Here is a 26,585-nt window from a genome sequence, read left to right as displayed (position 1 = left end):
ATTCAGACTCACGCTACACATCAAGTGTTGTTACTAACATCAGTTCTCCCAGTGTGCAGTCGAAGCTTGTTCGATTTAATGATCTTCTAGATGAAGTTCGTCTTTGGTCATCTGACCTGTCATCCATGCATCTTCAAACAATATTATTCAAAAGCAGAAACGTTTAAATTTCCTATTGCAATTTCAAATTGACAAGCATTGGCTGTCCAAAGAGTTTTGCAAGAATCTATGAACAATGCATCGTTATCATCATCATTGTTATTACTTTTGGTGAAGGGGTCTCACTTTGAAGATTGGTTAAAGCAGAGGATATTGGTATCAAAAACGGCCTCTTAAATGACGTCTTTGGGCACCTGAGTGAATGCAATAGACAGCTGCAAGAACCTGTGAAAAGTATACCAACTTAGTTCAGGCTGCTATAACAAAAATATCATAGACTGTGTAGCACATAAACAACAAACATTTATTTCTCACAGTTCTGCAAGCTGGGATGGCCAAGACTGAGGCAGATTCAGTGTCTGGTGAGGGCCTGTTTTCTTAGAGATGGTGCCTTCTAACTGTAATCTCATATGACAGAAGGGACTAGCTAGCTCTCAGAGGTCTCTTTCATAAGGGTGCTAATCCCAACCAGCCCTCACAATCTAATCCCCTCAAAGGCACCATCTCCTAACACCATCTCCTGGGGGTTACAATTTTCACACACATTTTGGAGGGACACTAATATTTAGACCATGGCATATACTAACGTGTACGTGTAAAATGTATGGATTCAAAGCAAAATTTCAACTATGTTACGGTGTTAAAAACTGTGAGATGTAATCAGTTTTGTAATCCTAAAGAAGTCAGTGTTTATGCCCTAAAGAAAAATAATGAAGACTGGTAGAGCGGCATCCATGTAGGTCTACAGAAATGCCCATTATTTTGAAATACCTGATATTAAAAACATTTGATCAGATTCCAAATCCATTTACACGATCACAAAACCATTCATTACTTTTGTCAAAGAAATAAAAAGAAGAACTGTCGACCTAAAGAAACACTGTACCCTTATAGTATAATTTAAAGAGACTTAATTATCTGAATTCTAGTTAATGTCAAGAAAAAAGTTGCTCTCAACTAAGGAAAAAGCAATAAATAATTTCCCAGCAATTGTGACCTCCTACTTTGGCAGAAGCTTTCTTGTCAATTGCGGCTTTCAAATATTTGAAGAGGTTATCATTAAAAGTCTTGAATGAAGTCATCACAAGAATAAAATCCGGTGTAGAAAATGTTATGTTCACCGATGAAGCTCAAGTTTCTTACTAAAAATCTTAAAAGAGATTTTTGACTTGGAAGTTTCATACAAATTCAGCATTGAATAGTTACGGATTGAAATGTACTTGAAGCATTTCAGTCCATTGCAGTTATTATTATTATTATGGATTTGTAAATTTTCCCATCTTTAACTAGCAGGAGCCTCTTCAAGTTGGCCTAAGAGTTTTTTTGACAAGGCCATGTTGATAGTTGATAGCATACCGTCTTTGCTTCTTGGAATGATGAGATGTTCCAGGCTCATCTTACACATTATCTGCTTCTGACCTGCAATCATGTGTTTATCCAAGAAACTTGCTATTTTTCTGTTACTAGGAAGCTCAGTGCCACTAGGTTAAGTTTTAAAAGGTAAAATCATTATAGTCCCAATTCAGACTTAAAGTTAAGACTGGGCTGAAAATCTCATTTCCCAAAGACATCAACATAATCACTTAGTTGCTTTAGCCCCACAATACTCATGCAACTGTCTTAAAGACACAAATCTGCCATGCCACTCCCACCAACATTCCAATGGCTGAAAACAGTTGAAAATCTTTTTTTCTTTGTCCTTAGAGTACATCCCACTAGGATGTACAAATTTCCATCTTTCAAAGTTATGTGAAACAGTTACTTTCCATACTGTTATGCCACCAACTCAGTATACAATTCTGTCCCTTTGCTTAATTTTGCCTTCAATTTCTTAGAATTTCTTTTCCAAAGGCTTAAAAATTAATTTAGTGCTGGCTGGGCATGGTGGCACACACCTGTAATCCCAGCACTTTGAGAGGCCAAGGTGGATGGATTGCTTGAGGTCAGGAGTTCAAGACCAGCCTCACCAACATGGTGAAACCCCATCTCTACTAAAGATAAGAAAAAAAAAAATAGCTGGGCATGGTGGTACGTGCTTGTAATCCCAGCTACTCGGGAGGCTAAGGCAGGAGAATTGCTTGAACCCGGGAGGTGGAAGTTGCGGTGAGCCAAGACTGTGCCACTGCACTCCAGCCTGGGCAACAGAGCAAGACTCCGTCTCCAAAAAAAATTAATTTAGTGCTATGAATAGATAAAATATATTTACATGCTTTCAAAGCCAATTCTATAAGCAAATATATTCAGAGAATGCTGATTTCTATTTTGGTACCTTCTTTTTCCCCATAGCTCTAGTTCTCGAATTCGTCCTCTTTCTGTTATGATATATAATATGCCATCTTGTGGATATACCATGGTCTACTCAGTCGGTCTCTTAATGATGGGCATTTTGGTAGATTCCAGTCTTTTGCTATAACAAGTGGTGTTGCAGCGAATAGGCTTGTACCTGTATCTTTTCATTTGTCTGCAAGTTCATTTTTGGAATAAACTCCTAAAAGTCGAGTTTGTGAGTGAGAAGGTAAACAGGTTAATTAGTTACTGCTAACTTGTCCTGCTTCAGGGGCTGCATCAGTTTGTGTTTTAAATGAAAAAGAATGAGAAACATTTTTAAACGCCAAAGATAATTTTCATTTTGAAATATTTCAAATTTACAAAGAATTTCAAATTGTATAAAGACATTAAAAACTGTTTGAGAGTGAGCTGCTAACATGAGGCCCATCACCCCCAAATACTGGAGTATGTACTTCCAAGAACACTCACCAGGTAACCACAATATTGGCATCAAAACCGGGACGTCGGCATTGACACATGACTGCCATCTAATCTACGGTTTCTCCTGTTTTCCCACAACGTCTTCTGTGGTGACAGAATCCAATTTTGATCGTATGCTGCATTTAGGAATCATGTCTCTTTCGTCTTCTTCAATCTGGAGTAGTTCTTGACTTTCATGACCTTGTCACTTTTGGAGGCTGCCGTCCAATTTCTTGTGCAATATGTTCCTAGTTTGAGTCCATCTGATGTTTCTTTTTAACTTGATTCAGGCTTGCATCGTAGGCACGAATAGCACAGAGGCGAGGCTGTGTTCTTTTCATCGCATCCTATCCAGTGGTACACAGTTCTGAGGTGCCCCATTACTGGTGGTGCTAACTGCAACCACTCACTGCCAGGTTTCTCCAGGGTCGAGTTACTCCGTTTTTTTTCCTTTGTGATGTATACATACTTTGTGAGGAGTCTATCCTGTTCCTCATCAAACTTCTCCCACTAGTTCTAGCACCCACTGATGTGTTTGGATTGAATTAATTAGGGGTTGTATCATTGCATTCCTAGCAGCAATGCCTCTTCCCCCTCCCCCGAGCCTCATCAGAGTATTGTCAGACTTTTGCATTTTTATCACATTGTTCTCTGTGTGTCTGTGTACCATCACTTTTTATGTGTTACCTTGATAAGGTTGAGCGTATTCTCCTGTGGTTATGGGCCATTTGCACTTCTGTGAACTCTTGTTTCATAGAGCTTGCCCATTTTTCTTCTAATTTTCTTCTTCTTCTCTGTTTTAGAGCTCTTAATATAGAGATATTAACCATTTCTCTGGGATATAAACTGCAAAGATTTCCCCCAATTTGCTATTTGTCTTGTTTTCCTTTGCTCATTGTATTTTTTTGCATATGGAATATTTTAGCTTTTTAAAGCTTCTAAATAGTCAGTTCATCAATCTTTTCATTATTGCTTCGAGATTTTGAGTCATTGTTAGACAAGTTTTCCCCACTTCCAGGTTAGAGAGACTAAAACTAGTGTTTTATTCTAGTACTTGTACAGTTTCATATTTTTAATATTGATATCTCCGATCCACTTGGAATGTATCCTTGTATATGGGGGTAGGGAATGGATACAGTTTTGTATTTTTTCCATATAGGTATCCACTTATTTCAATAATGCTTATCAAAAAGTCTATTTTATTCAGTTATTCAAGATGTCCTTTTATTATATACTAAATTGCCATATCGAATGGGGTCCATTTCTGGGCTTTCTGTTCTGTTCCGGACATCTTCTAGTCATCCACCAATAGACACACCATTTTAGTTACAGCACTTTACAATATGTTTTAATACCTAAAGGAGACTAGTCCACCCTCATTACTTTTATTTCAGAAGTTTCCTGACTATTTTTGCTCATTTATTTTTATGAATGAATTTTAAATTAACTTTTCTAGCTCCAGAAAAAAATCTGTTATTATTTTATTGGGGATCATGTGACAATTCTAAATTCACACAAGGAGCACTAACTTCCCTGTGATGTTGAGTCTTCCTGTTCAAAAACACGGTCCGTTTGTTTACACCTTCTCTAGTAACTTCCAGCAGCATTTGTACTTTTCTTCGTATGTGTTTGCTATTTCTTAAGTTTATCCCCAGCTTTCTTTTCTTTTCTAATGTTATTCTGTTATTGTAAATGGGATCTTCTCTCTGATTACAACTTCAAGCTATGTTTTGCTTGTGCATATGAAGTCGGTTTGTTTTTTCATGCTGATTTTATAGCTTGCTAGTTTGCTAAATTCTTTATTGCTCATAGTAGTTTCCAGATATCATATATTATTATCTGCAAATAAAGATAGTTTAATCACTTCCTTTTGGGGATTTATACCTCGCCTTGCTTTCTCTTGTCTACAGCTGTGGCAAATGTGTCGATTTCAATATTAAAGAGCAGAGGAGACTGTGGACTACCTTACGCTTCTGCCTTCAGCAGGAATGCCTGTAGGGTTTCCCAGTCAAGTAGATGGGGAATGCAGATTTGAGAGCTTGAGGTACATGCACAGTTTACCGTATCAAATAAATGTCAATACATTTCTATTTTATCATATGCTTGTACTCCAGATGGGCATTGAATATTGGCAAATATCAAAACTGCATTCTTGGAATAAATCCCACTTGAATATGATCTACTGTTTTAAATGTACTGTTGGATTTTGATAATTTTTACCATTTTAGCTTTTCCCATCAACACTCTTAAGATAAAACTAATCCGCAACTTTCTTATCTGGTGCATTTGTCTGCATTCTTTGGACCTGTTTGGGTTTTCTGTGGCCTAGGACATGATCGATCGATCGATCTATCTATCTATGTACTTTTTTTTTTTTTTTTTTGAGGCAGAGTCTCACTCTGTCACCCAGGCTGGAGTGCAGTGGCGCTATCTCAACTCACTGCAACCTCTGCCTCTCAGGTTCAAGCGATTCTCCTGACTCAGCCTCCTGAGTAGCTGGGATTATAGGCGTGCACCACCATGCCCGGCTAATTTTTGTATTTTCAGTAGAGACAGAGTTTCACCATGTTGGCCAGGCTGGTCTAGAACTCTTGACCTCAGGTGATCCACCCACCTCGGCCTCCCAAAGTGCTGGGGAAATGTTATTTATTTTTATAAAGCTAATTAAGTCCAGTATATTTATTGATATAATCAATAAATTTCACTTCACTTCTGTCATATAGCTACATATATTTGCTATATCTACATATATTTATATGTAGATAGTTGCTATATCTACATATATTTCTCTACATACATATAATTACATGTACACTTCTTGACATATGTAAGTGTGTGTGTCTTTATTTGGTCTGTTTTCTCTCTTTTTTGATATGTTTTAGTAATCGGGAAGGTTTTTGTACTTTTGCTCTAATGTTTATACACACATAATTCAGACGTTTACATAGAACCTTAGTCCTCTCTTTCTCTGGATACAATCTATTGATTCTCTGTTATGAGTAACATTACCATTGGCTAGTAAACTTTTCCTTTCCTCCCTAAAAATTCTGTGATAAAAGATTACAGACTAATAATATGGCAAAATATACAAGTTCAATTTATAAATATTATAATTTGCTGAAATAATTATTTTGGCTTTAGATTTTCAATTACACAGAAGCCGATTTTATCTGATAACTGCATGCATATGTGTATGTGTGAGGATGTACAGATGTACGTGTATATATACATGTACAAGAACATATCTATGTATACTTAAATATGTGTATATAGACTTATCTGTGTCCATGTATATATACGTGTCCACATGCATGTGTGTGCATGTGTATATATAGATGCAGATGTGTATGTATACATGTATATGTATACTTGTCTCTGTTTGCGCATGTATGTGAATGTGTATGTATGGGGGCCTACTGTTATGAAACCTGGTCCTTTCTTTGTGTTTATGTAACAAATCTAAGTTCGATGTCTCTGCCTTAATGGAGCTCATAGTGTAGTAGGGGAAGCAGACATTTACACTTCTGTGTAATAGTGCTACAGTGCAGGTCAGCATGGAATTCTTTAAAGGAGGCCCTACGGAGGAGACAGTTCCTGGGCCAAAGCTTTAAATATAAGTGATAATTGCCAGATGAAACACAGCGGGAAGGCTAGTGCAACCTGGGAACATGCCAAGGCATGGACGCAAGCTGGAATACATACGCTCCATTCAGCATCATGGTTTTGTTATATGAAATTAAAATCACCTGAATGTTGGTGCCGAACGCTTCTTGTGTGAAGCTTCATAGCACCAAGGCGCGTATGAAAAGCCCGTTGATGATGTCCAGATAGAGTTATGCAGACTGGAGGAGAAGGTGCCCCAGGGGCCCTCCTAGGTCACGGCATGTGCCAACTTGCTGGGCAGGAGTCCTGTCACCTCACCCAAGCCTGCGACCTGTCAACTGCCACCAGCAAAACTTCTTGGACCCAACCTTCCTGCTCCTTACGTCAACTCGTGCAGGGTGTACATCATAAGGAGGATTTCCCTTATGCTGAACTGAAATCTTTCTTTGAGCAACTTCTGCCCATTGGTTCCCCTCTGTCTTCTGCGTAAGCTGTTTTCGTACACATATATAGCTGTCACACTATTTGAATGTCACAAAGATATCTAACTGGACTTGACTATGATAGGAGGAACACATGCCTTGGTTCTCTCTGTGTGGCTCACACGATGAGACAGATGAAGCACTGCCCCTCTGGCTCTGCTCCTCAGAGGGGCCTGAATTTTCCTGCTTCCCCTGGTGGCCAGGCACCCGGAGCCGATGCTTGACGCGCATCTAGCCAGTACAGGGTTGTATGGTGCTGCCATTTACCTCGATCTGGAAACCTGTCATCCACAGAGAGTTTAAGTTACGGTCACAGCTCTCTCTGGGTGTAAACCCCAAGTGTTATAACTGGTGACAAGTCACGTCTCCCCATCCTGCTGCCACGTTAGTGGTTGTTGTATCCGAGTGCAGCATGTTGGCTTATCCTTTCTACATTTCAGTGTGTTGATTCCAACCACCAATCTAACAAAGCAATTTATTTTTGATTTCTGATTCTGGGGCAGAATCGATGAATTACCCCCTTAGCTGTGACACCTGCATATTTGACAGGGATGCCATCTCCATTTGCTCCAAGTCACAGACGGTACTGCCCAGGAGAAGCCCAGCATGCTAGAGTTTGTTGAGGTCACCCTCCAAGTGGTGGCTGATCAAGTAAATCACACTCTTTGGGCATAGCTCAATCCCCACCCTGCTTGGGTGATGTGAGTGGGAGTCCATCTAATGACCTATTACCCAATCCATATTTCTCATCTTATCTACAAAGTGCTTACTGAATGAATGAATGAATGAATGAATGAGTGAATGAAAGAAAATCGGCAGGGCATAGTGGCTAACACCTGTAATCTCAGCACTTTCGGAGGCCCAGGTGGGCAGATTACTTGAGGTCAAAAGTTCAAGACCAGCCTGCCCAACATGGTGAAATCCTGTCTCCACTAAAAATACAAAAATTAGCCAGGTGTGGTGGCACGTGCCCATAATCCCAGCTACTCAGGAGGCTGAGGCACAAGAATTGCTTTACCCAAGAAGTGGATGATGCAGTGAGCTGAGATTGTGCCACTGCACTCCAGCCTGGATGACAGAGTGAGACTTCTTCACAAAAAAAAAAAAAAAGAAAGAATAAAAGAAAGAAAATCAAGCTACAGGATGAATATGGTATTTAGGTCTATCAATTCAGTGACCCCCACCCCCCTCGGAAAAGGTCTATCAATTCAGTGACCCCCACCCACCTCGGAAAAGGTCTATCAATTCAGTGACCCCCACCCCCCTCGGAAAAGCAAACGGGGTTGGTAGAATGTGCCGCACTTTGAGCACACCCGACGTGACCCCTGGTGATGGCTTCCTGGGAATTACAGGAATTACAGGGTTGTGCTTCTCTTGGCGTCTTCCTTTTACATGAACCTGGAGTCCTGTCCCCATCAAGTGTTGCAGAGCTCCGTCCAAGTATTTCCTCTCCACTCCTCATCTTCCAATGGGTTTTCCGCTGAATGGGCTCTTCCTCTCCTTTTTGAGATGAACCCCATCCCAAGTCACAACAAAATCCCGTGTTTAACAAAAATCTCATTCATCTTGACAGGGAGCCGATCAAAACCAGAAGAAAAGGGATACTTGACTGGAAGTCAGTGTGGCCAATGAGACCTTCCCAGCCTGTCCTCCAGAGAGCTAGAGGTGGAAATGTGGGACATAAAGTGTTATGAAATTCTAGCCTCCTCCAAACGTGTGTTTTCACTGGTTCACCTTGGTCCCAACAGCTCAGTCCTCTTATGTAGACAATGTGTCATCACCCATATCCACCTTTTTCCCAAAGTCATGACCTTTATTTTAAGGAGACTCCAGCCTCCCACCCAACCACCAGAGTTTCCTGAGACACAGTTGAGGTTTCTTCTGAGAGATTTGCCTGCACACGTGGTGATGTCACATGTCACATGCTGTGGTTCACGGGGACTGTTGCTTATTGTTTCTCTCCAGGAGCCTGGACTGATCCTCCGTGGGTACAAGCCCTCTGCTATGACAGCTGGTGGGGCTCATGGTTATTAGTCCTTGGTATTACATTCTTCTACCTATCAATGCCTAAAGAAGGTTCCTAAATTAGAGTGGGTGTTAGAGTCACCTGGAGGGCATGTCGAAACACATATGGTAAGAGTTTCTGATTCAGTGGGTCTGGAGTAAGGCCCGAGAATTTGTATTTCTAACAAGTTCCTAGGAGATGTTGATTCTGTGGGTCCACAGACCATCTCTGAGAACCACCACTGTCAATTTGCTTTTCTACTTATTTTCTCCTCCCTTCCTTCCTCCTCCCCTTCTTACCTAATTGCCTACCTTCCTCTCTGCTCCTTTCTTTCTTCCCTCTCTCCCTCCCCTCCTCCATTCTTCCCCTGCTTGTTGCTTTTATTCTATCTAGATCCTAATTAATTGGTTGATAGAAAGCCCCTACTCTCGTTCCCACAAGCCCCTTCTCCCCCTTCTCCTCTCCTCTACCAGGACCGTTTGCTGCCAGTTAAAGCCCACAGAGTCTGTGACTACGTCCAGCAGGTATTTTCCCTGCTGCTGAAGAGAGAGACACACATTTTTATTTTTGATATTTAAGTCATATAATGTGATGAAATTAATATAAAGCTTATTTGCAACACCCCTGAGAAAAGATTATTACTATTCATCTTCTCTTCCATCTACATAAACGGAGAAATAGTAGAAAATGATGGTTAATCCGAGGAAACTCATGCTAAGCATGGAGCTCTAGGATGTTTTGGAGATTTGCAACATGTCAAATAAAATTAATAAACTGATATTAGGAGGTGCTGGGAGAGCAATTCATAGGCCCTCCTGGGCCAGGTGGATGTGAATATCCAGGCCTCTGCAGTAAGGAATGAGCAATTTCTACATCCTACTTAGTATCCCTACGGGACTGTGCAAACCCCACCTACACATGCTAAGGAGCCCACTGAGAATGCTGTAAAATCAGCTGGATTTGGCACAGGAGGAAATTAGAGTGCACTTGCCGATATTCTAACATGCCCAGTTCTATTTACTAAAGCAACACCACCTTCCCTGTTACACATAAACCGTGAAATCTCAGTTTCTCTACACAGTGAAATTTCATCGTCCATGACCCTCAGGTGCAGTATCAGTTCTCCTGGGTGCTCGGCAGCCTTCACTGGACCATTCAGGGACCACTTGCTGGCTCCGATCTCCTCTAGCAAGCCAGGGGCTGGGAGCCGAGCAGCCAGTGGGGGAGCTGCTTCTACCCCACGATGCAAGAAGCACAAATCTTCACGTCCTGCACAACAGCACACACCGTTTTTCATGATCCCAAATGTACATGGTTTAAACTATAAGGGACTGATGCATCTATCCAGAACACAGCAGGGATTCACAGGTGTCCATTTCTCCAGGTTACCACATAGAATTAAATGTATACGCCTTTGAAACCAGGGAGCGGTGAGTTCGTTACCTGGTAGAGTCACCGGCCGCACACCGCTGGGTGGGTGTACATATTGCCGTTTGTGTGCCGGGTGTTATCGTTAATTCCAGATTGTTATGGGCCACGGCTGAGTTCTCGCGTTGTTATGGTGCTTGCAGTTTTGATAGACCTGAAGGTTCTCACTGCATTAAACATTTCTACGGCATTATTAGGTTAACAAACCTTTGACAAATAAGCTCAAGTTTCTTTTCTGATGGCCTTCAGAAGAAAATACTTTAACACTTAAAAAGTTTTGTGTGTTCCTTTCTGAACTTATTTTTTTTTCCAAATCTTTACTTGCCAGGCATTGAAGAGAAGCATTTGGGGCCAGTGTTTGGGCTGGGGTGGGGGCACAGCACGTGGGGAGAGCCCGCAGGCCCTGGCAGGCTGTCTGCACACCGGGCCCTCGTGAAGCCAGTCGTCTGACTCTGAAGTCAGTTAGGAACAAGATGTTATTTCTATTCACAAAATACCAGTTTCATTCCTAAAATATATCTTCGCCCATGCCAAACGCTGAGCTTCTAAAACATGGGCCCAAGGCCACCGAGGGTGGAAGCTCTGGCCACTCGCTTGGGCTCCTGCCGACTTGGTGTCTCTTCCTCTTCCTCTCCCGACCCCCACTTCCCATGCCCTGTCTCTGCATTCTCCGCATCTGAAAATTGCATGTTTGTGGTTTCTCTTCCACTCTTCCCACGACCAGCTCCCCTCTCCAGCCGTGGGGCAAGGGGCCTTTTCCATACAGCATGGGGACTGTGGAAGACCAGCGCTGCGGCCTGGCGTGTCCAGGGTGCTGAGTGGCATACCTCCCCAACGCTGGGGACGCGTTCGTGGACCTAATTTCCCCATGCGCCTTCTGGGCTGCAGTCCCGGATTCAGCATTTCCAGCAGGGGAGGGGGAGGAGGAAAGATTCTGCATTTAGGCTCCTGAGCAAAGCCAGGCTCAGTGTGGGCGGCACCCAGGAAGGGTTGCTGTTGGACATCACAAGGCAGAAAGACAGGAAGGCCTAACTCACATGTGACAGGGCTCAGGACTGCTTTCTTCCGAGACTTCGAGACAGCAAGAGTCAGGGCAGAAGGCAGGCTATGGTGCTGAAGATGGAGATTAAAGTGGTGCAGCACTGGGTGTTGAAACAGGAACAATAAGCCCTGTGTTTTCAATCAGACATCTATTTTATGCTTTGTTTACTTATAGGTCAGGCATTGTGCTTGGATATGGGGATACAGATATGAAAAAGACAAATCAGACACAGCCCCTGCCCTCACAGGGTTCCTAGGCTAGCAGGAAAGACAGGCCTGCGAATCACAAAATAAGGTGATGCTCACAGTAACTTAGATTGGTTTATTTTTCCACATGTCCTCTAGCGGCAGGTGAAGGGTAAGTCCCAGGAACCCCTTCTCTGTGTGCACAGAGGTGATCTGCACCGATACAGATGCTAAACCCTACCTGCCCTGCTCCACCCCAGTCCTCCGCTATGTGCCTCGGCTGGCGGCCCTGCTCACGCCCTCACTCAGACCCGTCTGTCTTTACAGTTGAAAGGATAAGACAGGCTTCATAGCCGAGACCCTGATGAATCCTCTGTTCGGCGGAAGCTTTTTCCGAAAGGGAGGCAAGAATCAGTCAAACCAAACAGTGTTGCTGTATTGCTGGAATTCAGGATTTTTCAAACTGTAGGTCACAAATACACTCGTGGATAGGGAAATCAATTCCGTGGTCACAGCAGCATTGTTTTAAAGAATGAAACAGAATGGAATAGAACAGAAAATACCAAAGTACACATACACTGGGAGAGTCACTATTGTTCCATGGATGCTCTGTTTGTGTGTGTGTGTGTGTGTGTGTGTGTGTGTGTGAATGCAAAATAGAGTTCTCATTGTGCACCGCAGTCCAAAGTGCTCAGAAACCACTGCAAACCCACCCTCTACGGCGGCAGAGTGAGAAGCACGCCCATGTCTTTTCTATTCCACATAATGCGGCTGTGGGAATCTGGAAGTCATTTTTCACCAGGGCTGATATACACAGAATGAAAAACAAAAACAAAAACAAAAAACATAAACTGTAGTAATGGCAGATGATAGCCTGGGCTTGGGAGCCCAGCAGACTTAAGTTTCGGCTCCGGCATTTCTCAGCATTGTCCAGCTATATCACCTTGGGAAAGTGAGTTACCTCACTGAGATTCCATCTTTGCCTCTGTCCAATAGGGATATGATGCTTATCTTATGTGACCCCCAGGGATGAATGGAGTAAGACAGTGAATGTAAGGACGTGGCACAGCATGGTGAAGGCTGGTACACAGTGGCTTCCCCTAAAGCATGAGCTTCCTGTCCTTTGTCTTCCTGTAGGTTCTAAAAGACCAAAGGAAGCCCACCCCTAATGGAATATTCCATATCTATTTTGTTCAGTTTTTACTTAGTGTTTTAGGCAACGCTGGGAGAATCTGGAACATTATCCTATTCTGCAGGTACAGCCTGAGGTCTAGAAAGTCTTGTAGGGCTTGAGAAACAAATCTTTTGTGCAATGTCATTTAATGCCACATTGAGAATTTCCCAAGAGGAGATAAGAATGGGGCTTGCAAACAGAGTGCTCATTTATAATCCTTACTTTAGAAAACCTTTCAAAGCCCAAGTGAACATTTAGGAGCTTTTACTAATGTTTTAGAAATGTGGATAACCAAATGTTTTTTCCATTTCTTTTAAAATATGAAATATTTCTCTTTCATTATAAGGTAATGTTCTGAAACCAGAATAAATCATTACAGCACAAATATACCTGTTACAAGAAGAAAAATGATAAAGAAATAAAACCAGAAAAAAAGGAAAATCTTGGTGTGCTCAGAATGATGATTTATAGCATAATTTGTCTCTGGACCCCTTCTAGAAAAACCAACATCTGCGTCTTAATGGATGAATTCAAAAAATGTATAGAAGGAGTTTGCTAATCCATACAGGCTTGTTTTAGGACAAAACTGTAATCGATTACATTTTATATCCTGGCAGTGTCCAGTGTTCCACACTCAGGTTCACCTGAAAACTTCACAGCCACATTCTTTCTTCCTGTGTCTTTCATCATTATTTGAACAATTTCTAACAAAAACTGAATTTGTGAGCCAAACAGCGAGTCAGCATCGATATGAACTACTGATTGCTTCAAATGACTATAGTACTCTCCCTCCCAAGCTACACTATTAGAAAGTTGCTGAAGTAAACACTGGCAGTAAGAAAAATGTTTCTAATTATACTGGGCACTCGGTTATACACAACTTACACTCCGCGGAATTTTTTCCACTCGACACCAAAAGCGTATTGATTTCTGAGTCCATTTCGGTTATTTAAATTTAAAATTCTCGAGTAAATTTCAGTTATTTTCCATTTCATCGTGGGTAATCATCATGGAAATTTGATATGCGGAACTGAGTCTGTTGGAGTTTCAGGCCACAGCTTCTGTGAGAGCACCAACCTTTCCTCTCACCCCTCAGAAAGTTCACTTGGCTGAAACTGTATTAGAGCTTTGCTGCTCAATTTGTAAGTTAATATGTCCCATTTTAAAATGCCTTGAGCTGAAAAGGTCATGGAGTCACCGTTAATAAAATCTATTAAATGGGATTGGCCGACAAGATAATGGGGGATGGTGGATGAAGGGGGATAAGAAAAGTCAGGAAAGTTAGAAAGTTTATATTAAGTAATCCCCATGTGTCCAAGGTGCTAGCCCATGCCGAGAGCTTGCGAAGAACTGGAGTGGACAAACCATGCATTGTAAATATATCTGAGCCATAAATGGGATTGAAAAGAAAAACAAGGGCCGGGCGTGTTGGCTCACACCTGTAATCCCAGCACTTTGGGAGGCCGAGGCAGGCGGATCACGAGGTCAGGAGATCGAGACCATCCTGGGTAACACGGCGAAACCCCGTCTCTAATAAAATACAAAAAAAATTAGCGGGGCATGTTGGCGGGCGCCTGTGGTCCCAGCTACTTGGGAGGCTGAGGCAGGAGAACGGCGTGAACCCAGGAGGTGGAGCTTGCAGTGAGCCGAGATCGCGCCACTGCACTCCAGCCTGGGAGACAGAGCAAGACTCTGTCTCAAAAAAAAAAAAAAAGAAAGAAAGAAAGAAAAGAAAAACGAGGAGTGTGGCCAGTGAGTGGTGGGGTCAACATCGCACTGTGCTCACTACATACTGCTGATCTTCCTTAAGGAGTTGCCTGGAAGGAAACACATTTGAGACCAAAAATGTATGCTCTAGAAGAATGAGCTGCTACCTCCCCCTGCAGCAGACAGCTTCTCCATTGCTCCCTGCCTGCTGCTTGTGCCAACCAGGGCAGCCTGCATGCCCTTCCCTCCCTCAGCCCAGGCATATGCTGTGTCACTGCTGAGTTCTCTTTGAGACGGCAGCCTAGCAAGTTCCACACCCGCCTAATGGTAGCGCACGCTGCACCATCTTTCCCGGGCATTCGGATACTTTCTCAGGAGGAGCTCAATCCAAGGGCCTTATTAAAGTCAAGATGAATTACATCTCATTTCCCCGGATACCTCAAGCTGCCACTCACTGAAGGGAGGAGGAGAAATGAGGCTGGCTGGCCTAGGGCTTCCTTCTTCTCCTGGCTGGGCATTTCCTGCCTTCTGCATGCTCTCTGACATGCTGTCGAATTCTCTTTGTAGACATTCCAATAATTTCCCAAATTATGCCGACAAATAATTAATTTTATGAGTTATGCTTTCCCTTTCAGTTTACAGGCGTTTTAATTACTCCCTTTTCAGCTTCAAGGACCTGCTCAAGCCCCTAGGCTGCCTTGACAATCAGTGCTAATAGCTGGGGGTACTTCAAGCCCCTAAGTGGGGCTCCCAGCAGCAAATAAGCATTTAGCACTTAATGCCCAAACAGCCCCATGGAGCTGGGGGCCTGAGGCTGAGGAGCCCTCAGGGGATGGGTGGGAAGTCATGGCCTGAAGGACCTGTGCTTTTGCAGTTTTCATTCTGTGTGAGGCAAGCCAGGAGCCCATTGTCAGATTTCATCTCACTTAGAAAGTGAGGCAGAAGCTGTGAGCTTCCCCTTCCTTCCTTAACAAGGGACAGATATGTGCCCAGCTGGAAGGCCACGTTGCCAGCCTCTGCCACAAGGAGAGAATTCCAGGAATTGTAAGCAGAGTCAGCAGCAAATGGAACTTCTAAGAAAGTTCCTTAAAGGTGGGCATACTCGTTCCCAAGGCACAACCCTGAGGCTTTCTCCTTGTTGCCTTCTAGAGTGGGGACGCAATGGCTGGCACTGCAGCAGCAGGCTTGTGACCTGAGGCACGTGCTAAAGTGGCAGCCAAAAAGACAAAGAACCCTGAATCTCTGATGACCTCGGAGCTGCTGCTATGACTGCCCCACCTACTGCCCAACCCCCTGATGTGAGAAAAGTAAAAACACAGCTCTATCTTGTTTAAGCTCCTGTCACTGTGGGTCTGTTTCTAGCAGCCAGACACTATTCCTAAGCAACACAGATAGCCACAAACTCTGAGGTGTCCCCGCCACGTGGATCACAACCCTCGTGTCCATAGCCCGTTCCTCTGGGTGCTGACTGAGGACTCTTCAAAGCACGCCCAGTACCCCGATCTGTGGATAGATGAGGGGTGACCGTGCATGAGTGAGGCTGATTTCTTTTCTACTTCCTGCTCTTATTTCATGAATGACAGTCTCACCTCCAGGGCCAGACTGCAGGTCCCCAAGGATGATGACACACCAGATATCTTCCCTACCCTCGGGGTCAGGGCCCTTCCCACAACTCTGCACAAACTGCAGGTGCTCACATCAATTCTTGAGTGTCTCTGTTTGATGTTACTGTCAGTAGGGAGATGACCCCCAGATCTCTTCCAGTGTAATGGCCCCTATGGAAGCATTCAAATACCCTAGTAGACACTCTTCATCACAGTGGAAAAACGAATACAGACAAAGCCACAGTGCTGGCATGTGTGTGATGTCTCCTTGTTTTGAAAGCCTTTTCACACGTAGTATCTCATCTCCTCTTCACAGTGCCCTTTGAGTCAGGACAGGTGTAAATGCCACAGTTTCACAAATGAAAACTGCAGGCTCAGAACGGGCACAGGTGCTTCTTGAAGGCACATTAGTAGTAAATATGGAGTGAGGCCTGGATGGACTCCCAGGAAGGGCTCTTTCTGGGGGTCACATATCCAGAAAGATGTGTGAATATACACGTGTGTGTGAAACGTCACGCTCACTGCGCCCCCACCACTGTCCCCCTGATGCATTCACAGTCCCTCTTGTCACTCTGCTTCCTCATGTGCCACCTTCTAGGCAGATCCCTTTCTGTCCCATTCATTGCATCTTCCCCTCCAGAGCCAGGCAAGCATTGCCCCCGTCTTCCCTTCACCTCCCCAGCTCTTTCTAGACTGGTGGTCTGATGTCATCTCCTAGCAATGTACTGTCACAGAGGGGAACGTGGATTCAGGACAGAATTCATACGCTCGCTTCATTCTGTTCAGCGGCAGCGTGGCTGGCTGGGAGGTCCTTGAATAGCACAGAGGGATAAGTGCATTTGACTACACTGAGGCATCAAGGCTGTGCAGCCAGCCAAGCCAGCCATGTCCCCCAGGCCATGGACCACCCTTCCTGCTGCCTGCCACGTGCCTGACCCCAGCCACGTCCAAGGGATAGTGTCCTAACACTCTGGCCAGTAACTGTTATCAGCCCCCAATTTATCCTGGGACTCAAGCATGTCCCTCGAACAAAGAAGGGTCAGGTGGGTGGTGCCCGGCGTCTCCGAGACTGTCACAAGCCTGAGATGTTCATCCTCGTGGCCCAGGAATAGGTTTAGGGTTGGAGTCAGGGTCTGGAAGAAAAGCATGACATGACCTTCCCAATCCCAGCAAGCTCCAGGGAGATTCCCCAGAGGCATTTACCATCCCACTGAGCACACGGGAGTCCGAGACATCCAGAGAGGGAGGGCTGAGTCCCTCAAAGGGAGGACGGGGCCACCTGTGTTTCCACACCAGGCTTAAAAGGGAACAAGGGAGGGCCATCCACATCTGTATAAGGGTGCTCCCAGGAGTGCCGAGGCAGAAGACATGAAGAAGACACGAAGACAGGAATTACGACTGTGTCTGCTGGGCCCTCCGAGACCCATGAGGGGCTCTGTATACCAACCCCCAATGTCAAACACCCAAGTGAGGGAAGGATGGTGCTGCTACAGAAGCCGAGCTGCAGATGGGAAACTGCACGTGCAGCATTATCCACTAACGTTCACTCATGAAGAGCATTTTTTTTTTTTTAAGTATAGATGATGAACCAGATTTGGACCAATCGAAGTCAGGTTCTCATCACATATGGGAAAAAGTTCATTCCCAGAGCAATGCATAATTTAGTAATTTCCCCATCCAGAAGACTACTTGGACATGGAGGCGGGACCCCACCCACTGTGCCACTATCTTAGGGGAACCCTGCACCCCAGCCCACTAGCTAAGCACAGTCCCTCGCCAAATCTCCTCTGAAATCTCAAGTCCTACTGACGTCAGAGGCAGCTGATGTCACTCAGAGAACAGCAGTCTTGTCTTGGAAGCCTGGATGTCAGTGCTGGTTCTGCCTTTGTGGCCTGTGTGATTTCTGACCAACTAAATTCCAGTTAGCTAATGTTCAGCTTCCTATGAACAGGTGTCTGAAAATGAAACTTGCCCTGCTGTATCCTATAAACTGTCTGCACTTTGAGGAAGGGTCTGGGCTCTGTTCCTGTTTTTATACCCAGTCCCACTGTACAGGAGGCACTGGGCCTGTTCCTGTTTTTATACCCAGCCCTGTTGTACAGAAGGCACTGGGAGGTGCTTGTGGGGCCGAAACTGCATTCGTTTTCAGGGTTGCTGGAAGGCACAACCCTGGAATCCATGAGAGCTGTTTTGAAAACAATGGCGTCCCACCTAAACTTACATCCCTATCTCTTCTCATTGCCAGCCTTTGGAGCTAGAGGACACTCATCAATTCATTTTTTTTGTCTCTAGAGTCCCTGCTGCCATTCTCTGCTCCCCGCCTCCTACATTCCCTGCACACCCACGCACAGATTCCGCCCCTAATGCAGCATTTTGCTCATGTCACTCACAGATCTTAAGCCTTTCATGGTTCCCCACTGCCAACTGAATAAAAGCCAGAGTCCAAAGCCTCAAAGCCCTTCTCAATTAGGTGGAGATCCACTTCCCTCTGCCCCATGCAGAACTCAAATGCACCGGAAATAAAATGAAACAGTCACAGTTAATAGTAATAAGGGATTACTAATAGCAATATGAGTCTTTTTAAGTGTTTCTAAGTTTATTGTTAATTTATTAAATAGACCAGTTAAAGCAAATGTTAACTGTCCAGGTTTTCAGCCATTTTCCTTTTCAAATGAGTAATCAAGAATTACTTGCATATGGACAGGTCCTTCCTGGCTGTCCTGCATTTTAAATATTTCTTCTAGTCGCTGTGCAGGCAGAACTGACTGCACTTAATTTATAAAGGAGGATTTATGGACTTACAGATGACAACAGACAGCCAGTCAATACGGGATGATAATAAAAGCATGTAATATCAAGGAACATTAGGTCTCAGGCATGATTTGGGGAGAGAATTGGGCAGTCAGAAACCTTGTCATCTGAAAAAGGTCAAGGTCTGGTAGCAATAAAAATGCCTAAGCAAATAAAATCACACCTGTGAATCAGGCGAGGGCATAAATCGCAGAGTGAAAAAGGATTTTAGACTCAGTAGAAAAATTACTTCCCTGGGCAAGGATTTGGGCTGCTGTAGGACAAATGAGGCTGTGTTGGGAGAGGGTCTGTTTATTCCTGCTAAGAGCAGTAACAGTGAAATGCAGATGTGGAGGAGATCTCCCAATGCTGGCTCCTCCTGGGGCTGAGATCTGAATCTTTCAGAAAACAGCGGAGGAACCAGATGCTGTGGAAAGCCTGCCACGCCGCACCCGGATCTCACCACGGATATTTAAGAACCACTGGCTTCATGACGTTTATGTCTGGTCAATTTTTCCAGGGGTCGGGGGCAGTTTTTATTGACCTAGTAGATTGTTTGCTTGTATAACTGAAAAGCACAACCAAAAAAAGTACCACGTTGCAAATTCGATTACCAGTAATCACGTTACGTCGTTAAAAATAAAACTGTGAATAATCATCGTGCTCTTTGAAAAACACTCACAGTATCACACAGAACTCCACAGCCAGCTTTCCTGTGAAAACCTACAATCATTCCATTTAGAAAAATCCAGTTCCACAGACTTTTCAAGACTAGATGCACCCGTCAAAAGGCGTGTACAGAAACTTCCTTAGTCACTGAAAAAGCAGTTGGAATATTATTTGTCTCCTGTCTACGGTTCTGTTTTCATTGAGGAATAGCTGGAGAGATCCCATTAAATACGTGATGAATTTTCTTGTAAACGCTCCCTAGGGGACTGGATTCTCTGTTTTTCTTTCTAACGTACTCCAGTCAAACCTTGCAAATCCCATTCCCCGGCAAAGATCCCGCCACCTCGTGGTTTTGGAGACAAGCTTACCTCCCTGCAAGGTGTACTCGGTCACTGCCCTGCTGAAGACGCCCAGACCGGCCCCGTTGTACGCCGCCACCTGTATCTCATACTGTGTCCAGATGATCAGGTCTGTCACCAGGCAGTAGTTCACCTCCGGGCTGGTGATGTTCCGCTGCTGGTACTCTCCGGGAAGGCCAGCCAGGCGGTACCTGCGCCACGAAGGAAGCCCATCACGATAAGGAAATAACTGGACCCAGGAACGGTGTTTACCCGCAGTTATTCCGCAGGGTTAGGGGGAAATGGAAGTAAATAATCAAGAGCAGAGCTGAGAGGTCAGCCCTAAACAATACTATTTCCCAACTCGATGATTTTGAAAAGTGTGCTCTAATCTCACAGTGATTATAAGCTCAAGGCAAAATGGAACTGACATTTCAACTACATAACGGTTAAGAAAAAATTACAGCTTTTTACATGTAACTCGTCTAGGGACTACAGTGACTTAGGACGAAAAATTCCAGACATGATTTCCATCGGGGAGTTGCTGTAAATCAGTTTGAGAAACACTTTCCTCTTGTGAGTCTGAAACGTGGGGAGACTTCCAGAAGCAAGCAGCACACGGCCTTGTGGTGTCCAGGGACAGAGCTCCATTTAGGAATTGCAGGTTTGTCCAAGTGTATCCCAGAACAAGAATCAGCGGCTTTGAAAAGGTGTTGAAATTTCTAAAATACTAGTCCAGTACTAACTATGACAAATTGCTTTGTAGAAGACCTCTGTGAGTGCTTGGGTACTATGTTCTTAGCATACTAAAGGTGGAAATTTAAAGTAGTGTTTATGAAAAAGATAATGTACACAACTCAGGACTTAGGGTGTATAAATTAGGAAATTGCTGTGTGTACTGTGAGAAGATTTGCATTGTATTATTTTGATTAGCATATGTTTCTCCATGATTCAGTCTATAGAAGTTAATGCACTGAACTGACTCAGGTAATTTATTGAGCTTTCCTGGATCAGCCCCTCTGGGTAAAGCCAGGGGCATGCCCAGTAGGAGTGACTGCCCTGTCATCCTGCAGCTTCCAAAAGCCTCTAATTTCTATCCCAGAAGTGGCTCCTGCCTCACAGTCCCACACTTGAGTGGCAGCAAATCCGCTGGCTTTTCACGGCATGTGGAAATCTTCAGGCTCCTCCAGGACGCTGATCTCTGAGCTCTGTGGTTCTGCAGATTCCATGTCCATTACCTGTGTGGTCCCACGCGGGCAGGGCACCTGAGCACGAAGGGGAAGGAGCTGAGACAGACACGCGTGGACCGGAACATCAGTAAGGCTGCTGACACCGAAGCAGAGAAGAAACCCAGAAATTCAGGCCCTAAAATGTAAAACAACTTTCCCAAGAGAAGGAGGGCTTGAAAATGAAGTGAGGAAATCGAGAAATGGTCACACAAGGTTCTTCACAAAAATCAGGAGTTTCCGAGAGCATTCTCCCGTTCCCTCTTGCCGCCGACCATGTACACTTGGTGGGGCCTGTTTGATAGAAAACAAATGATGATAAGCAGATGGCCCTTGAGTAGCAAGAAGGTACCGGGCCTCCTTCTGTCTCTTGCCTGAAAGGAGCAAGTGGCCTCTGGGCTTGCCTGGTGGGAGACTCAGGGAAGGGACAGCGTTATTCCGTGATGGGCAAAAATGAAAGTCAAGTTATCAAACCATGTTTTGGCTTCCTAGTGTGTCCATCACTGACTCCTTTACTGAACGACCTGCACCAAGCAAGTACACGTGCAATTCTCAGGTGGTGTTCAGATCACCGACGTAGCATGATGGTCCTCAAGGCGGTGGGCCACTGGGAGAAAGGCTTGGCATGGATTCACCTGTGTGACAGGTATTTCCACTTACATTCACCATCTACAAAAGATGAACGCTTAAAATAAATGGGACTGAGACAGCCATTTGGGAAAAGGTAGAAACTGGCTCTGTGCCCACACCATGCACCTGAGTAGCCTGGGCATGCTGGCACCAAGCACCATCTGTAATCACTATGACAGAATGAGGATGCCGTTTAAGAAGGATTCCTCATGTGGACCCAACGCTACACAATGCACATTCCAGGGAAGAGCTGAGGAACCAGCATCGGAAGACTTTGCTCAACGGCCACTCAGAAGCTGGGTGGTGTTGGGAAAATTCCAAACTTCTCTGAGCCTTGGTTTCCACCTCTTTAAGGTGGGTACGACAGTAGCATTTCCATTCTTGTTGCAAGAGTCAAAGGAGACACTGAATGTAAAAGAGATGTGAAGGTGTAAAGCACTCCCTAAATATATATACATTTTTAAACACTGCTCTTCTACCGAGAAGTATGGTAGAGATAACTATGAGTTATAAGGAACTACACCTGCATGAGCCACCCAACTTCTCTGGGGCCACTCTTAACAGCACTGTGAATAACAAACTGCAGAATTTACATCTTCCAAAGAGCCTGCGCTCCCCTCCGGAACAGTCACGTTGGCCCATTCTGACCAGTGGCTCCGGGTGCTTTTGTGATAGTCACAGGATGTCTAAGAAGGTCACAGTCAATAACGGAAGTGCAGGGCAGCCTCCTCTTGCTGGTAGGATATGTTGCCCAGGAGACCATCTCAGCCAGAACAAGATGATTTTTTATACAAAAATAAACAGGAGAACGTTTATAAAGGACATAACCCCTATGCTCCTCTCAAAGAAACACCCTCCCTATTATTATAAATATTTTATTACTGCACACGCGTCCTAACTACTTCTTATGGCTGGAGCCACGGAAGTGATTTATTTCTCTTTGCTTTCCTTGCATTGTGCCTCGGATCTGACACAGAGACTGTGCCCTGGAGGATACACACTCGCAAACAGAGAGCTGATGTGCAGACCAGAGGATTATGCGGAAATGTTTTTAAGCAAATTCACTTTGGCATGGCTCTTTCATTTCTGAAAACTTTGATATTCACAGGCCTAGGGTACTGCACCCTCATCTTGGAGCTTTCTGGATTTAAGCTCCTGCAAATACAGAAGATGCCCTCATCTCCAGCACCCAACTCTACTGACCCCATCACAGAAAATCCTTTTAACAGTAGTAATCCCACAAAACAGAGAAATGTGCAGTCCCCGAAGTGGCCTCGTAACATCAGAGAGGTTTTATTATTAAACTCTGTGCCCCGGGCCTGGTTCTGTGGGATGACTTTTAAAGTCCTTACTTGACGGCTTCAGCCTAAGGAAACTCTTCCTGCACATGCTGAAGAAAGGCAGAGGCAGAGGGATGACAGGCCTGTGCTGCTGGGTACAGAGGGCAGCCAATTATTCTCATTAGTGGATGGGTGCAGAATGAGAGGTAATGGCTAAGGCAGGGGCAAGAGCAGCAGTGCCACAGGAGCCCTCGGCCGCAGGCGGCGGGGACACGGGGCTGTTTTCTGGAGCGGAGGTGGTCAGGCAATTAGGAACTGTCCCAGGGGATCAACAGGAACCAGAGCCTGCGGCCCCCACCCCGAGGGGACAGAACTGCAAGCTCCTCTTCCCCCTTCTTTGAAATGAGGAAGGACAGTTGGAGCCTCGAGACAAAAGGGGCCTTGCTATTGATTGGAGCTATTTGTGTACCCCTGGGGATGGCCCATTTAAACCACTTCAGGTGGGTCACGGTCTGGCTTACATTTAGAAGAGAATCCCGACGCTGGAGGAAAAACTTGTAAACAGCGGCAAATTGGTTTTGACAGGCAAATAGTCCAGGCACATAGAAAAACACATATTAAATGATGAATGGATGGCTATACACATATATACAGGGAAGGCGTTGCCCTTCATACACAAGGATAATGAAGCTGAAGATGCAACATTTCCCAATTTCTCACATTTATCTAAGAAATTACATCTGTCTGCTGAAGACCTTTGTTAGCCACTGTTTACTGATCACACACTTGGAACGAGCCCAGGAAGGGAATAAGCGGATACCCACTGTTCTTGTCCCAATATCACTGGTAAAATGAACAAATATGTCCACAGTGGTGCAATCTATTAGAAGAGATTTAATAATTATTATGCAATTCTGCTTTACTTTTGCTTTTACTTGTGTCAACAGGCTACTGCAATGATCGCGTTCAGTGCAATTTTAAAATTAGCAGTTTTGGCAAAGGAGGTTTCTTCTCTCAAACACAGACAAGTTCAGATACAGTGTTCCCAATAATTCTAGAAGCCTAACTGTCCTTTATAAAGCAAAGACAGCACACTGGCTACCCTTCAGCCACATCTGGCCTGCAGAAGTGTGTGTTAGCCCTGCCCTTTGTTTCCAAATATATTGATTTCATTTCCAACATCTAAAAGTTGGGAGGTTTCAGGTACAAAGCTAGATCTTTGGATTTCTGGAAATAGCAAGCAACATACCAGCATGGTGACAACTGGCTAATAATTACATGAAATTAATTATTCTTAATTTAAAATTACTGTATTGAACAACACATGCCCTTGGTTGAAAACTTAAATGGAATCAAAAGACCTACAATGAGGCCAGGTGCAGTGCCTCACGCCTGTAATCCCAGCTGAGGATTGGGAGGCTGAGGAGGACAGGTCACCTGAGGTCAGGAGTTTGAGACCAGCTTGGTCACCATGGTGAAACCCTGTCTCTACCAAAAATGCAAAAATTAGCCAGGTGTGGTGGCACATGCCTGTAATCCCAGCTACTCGGGAGGCTGAGGCAGGAGAATTGCTTGAACCCAGGCAGCGGAAGTTGCATTGAGCCAAGATTGTGCCACTGCACTCCAGCCTGGGCAACAAGAGAGAAACTCCATCAAAAAAAAAAAAAAAAAAAAAAAAAAAAAAAAAAAAAAAAAAAGCTTCACATTGAACAATATACCTTGCTTCCAACCCCTAATACCCCCTCCATTCTCCTGCCAAAATGCTACCCTGACACCAGTTTTGTGTGTGTCATTTATGGTCAGATATGCACAGAATGTCTCTGCACGGCTGCCCACGTTGGCCTGTGCACTCCAGTTTGCCACAGTCTCCACCACTCCCTAACATCTCACACCTGGCCTGACTCCTTTGGTTCCTGTTTGGCTCTTACAGACATTAGAGTTTGCAACCCTCTGTGAAATCGACGCTCAACTCTAATGGCGGCCTAAAGATGGCCAATCACAGGGCACTTGCCTGAGGATGTATCCACGCAACACCCCGTTGTGCTCTGTTTCTGGGGGTGGCTGCCACTGGACCATAATGGACTGATTAGTCCGCCCACTGGCCACTATATTTTTCGGGGGAGCACTGGGTGGTTCTTCAGGTAGCATCAACCTATAAATAAAAGACGGGTAGGAACAAGAGAGATGAGTACCAGAAACAGCGGGGGCCCATTTGCATTTCATCTATCTTGCTGAATCTTGAGCCTGACTATTCACAAAAATCGGGTTTCAGGAAAAGCAAAACACACAGCCAATGAAACTGAAAGGACGTGAGAAACAGTTACCACAAATCAACATAATAGAAAATCAGTTAACCAAGCAACGAGGAAAGGTGGAGGTGACTTTGTTCTGTGTGAATAACCCCAGCACCTCAGCCCTTTAGAAAGACTGCAAGCCTGAATGCGTCCGCTCGTCGGCCTGCCGTCTCAGACTCCTCCCAAACTGTTTTCTCCGGCTCTTTCAATATTTCTCATATCAAACTCCCACATTTTGAAGAAAAAAAAAGAAAGGCATTTACAGCTCAGCTGTTCTACAAGTCAAGCCCACTGAAAGCTCAGGTTGGTTGGGGAAGGTGTGCTGAAATGTGATGAAGCCATTTTCCCATGTCACCTCCGAATGAGATTTTTCAGAGGTGGCCCTCGCAGGGATGGGAGAGCGTGAAGACCGCTCAGGAATGCGACGCCTCTGCAGAGACAGCTTCCCTTAACAGCATGCTAGGTGTTGACTTGCTAAGACTGTGGCATCAGCGTCCACCCGGCAGTGGGGTGGACAAAGAACACGGAAAACATGTGAGCTCTGAATTTCCTGTACACAGAGGGCTGTGCTGTCAGGAGCGATTTATGTAGGCACAGCCAGATCGCCACAGGAAAAATCCAAGGAACCTGCCTCAAAGCAATGAAGGAAGGCCCAGCTAAGTCTGCGTGGGCCTGTCTTTCCCTCTTTGCGACAGGCTTTTCTGCTCACGGTTTGTCCCGTCTCCCTGAGGGAAGCCAGCGGGTTGCTGTGATCAATTCCACCACATAATGTGATGCTTCTCTTTGGCATTCAGGCCCCCGGCTGTTCCACACCCCCACCTGGGGCGGGATTCACGCACCTGCTTGTCTCGGCGCTGTACTGGCCCCTGCCCACTTCATTCACCGCGCACACCCGGAATTGATAGGTACGAGCCGGAGTCAGGCCACTCACGGTGACGCCTGTCATCTCAGGGCCAACGTTTGACAGATGCACCTTCCATGGAGAGTCTGAAAGAATGAAGAAAACGAATTCAAGCCCACAGGCTTATCATGTCTGAATAATAAGAGGTGAATGCAAAGGCTTTCTCAGGGAACATCTCATTTGCTTAGCAGGACAGCTCTAGGAGAAGGAAAGCTTATCCCATTTAGCAGGTGTGGAAACTGAGGCTCTGGCCATGTGGCTAGTAACTTACAAGCCAGAAAGGCAACTTCCCCGGTGCCGCCATCAATGAGCAAAAGGAT

At 44.8% G+C, this 26,585-nt stretch overlaps 1 protein-coding gene across 5 annotated transcripts in view; it reads right to left on the bottom strand.

Annotated features, from left to right (window-relative positions):
• SDK1 (sidekick cell adhesion molecule 1) overlaps window positions 1-26,585 on the bottom strand; it is a 967,749-nt gene that overhangs the window by 231,684 nt on the left and 709,480 nt on the right. For all 5 annotated transcript variants that reach the window (NM_152744.4, XM_047420038.1, XM_047420037.1 and 2 more), the window contains 3 exons: window positions 26,204-26,351; window positions 25,082-25,222; window positions 19,965-20,146 (listed from right to left, as the gene is read on the bottom strand). In NM_152744.4, the coding sequence (NP_689957.3) occupies window positions 19,965-20,146; window positions 25,082-25,222; window positions 26,204-26,351 (471 nt within the window). The remainder of the gene's footprint in view (window positions 1-19,964; window positions 20,147-25,081; window positions 25,223-26,203; window positions 26,352-26,585) is intronic.

This window comes from Homo sapiens, chromosome 7 (assembly GCF_000001405.40).
Source record: "Homo sapiens chromosome 7, GRCh38.p14 Primary Assembly".
Classification (NCBI taxonomy): domain Eukaryota; kingdom Metazoa; phylum Chordata; class Mammalia; order Primates; family Hominidae; genus Homo; species Homo sapiens.
The sequence above is the reverse complement of the archived record's forward strand: the minus strand, read 5'-3'. Positions and strand labels throughout refer to the sequence as shown.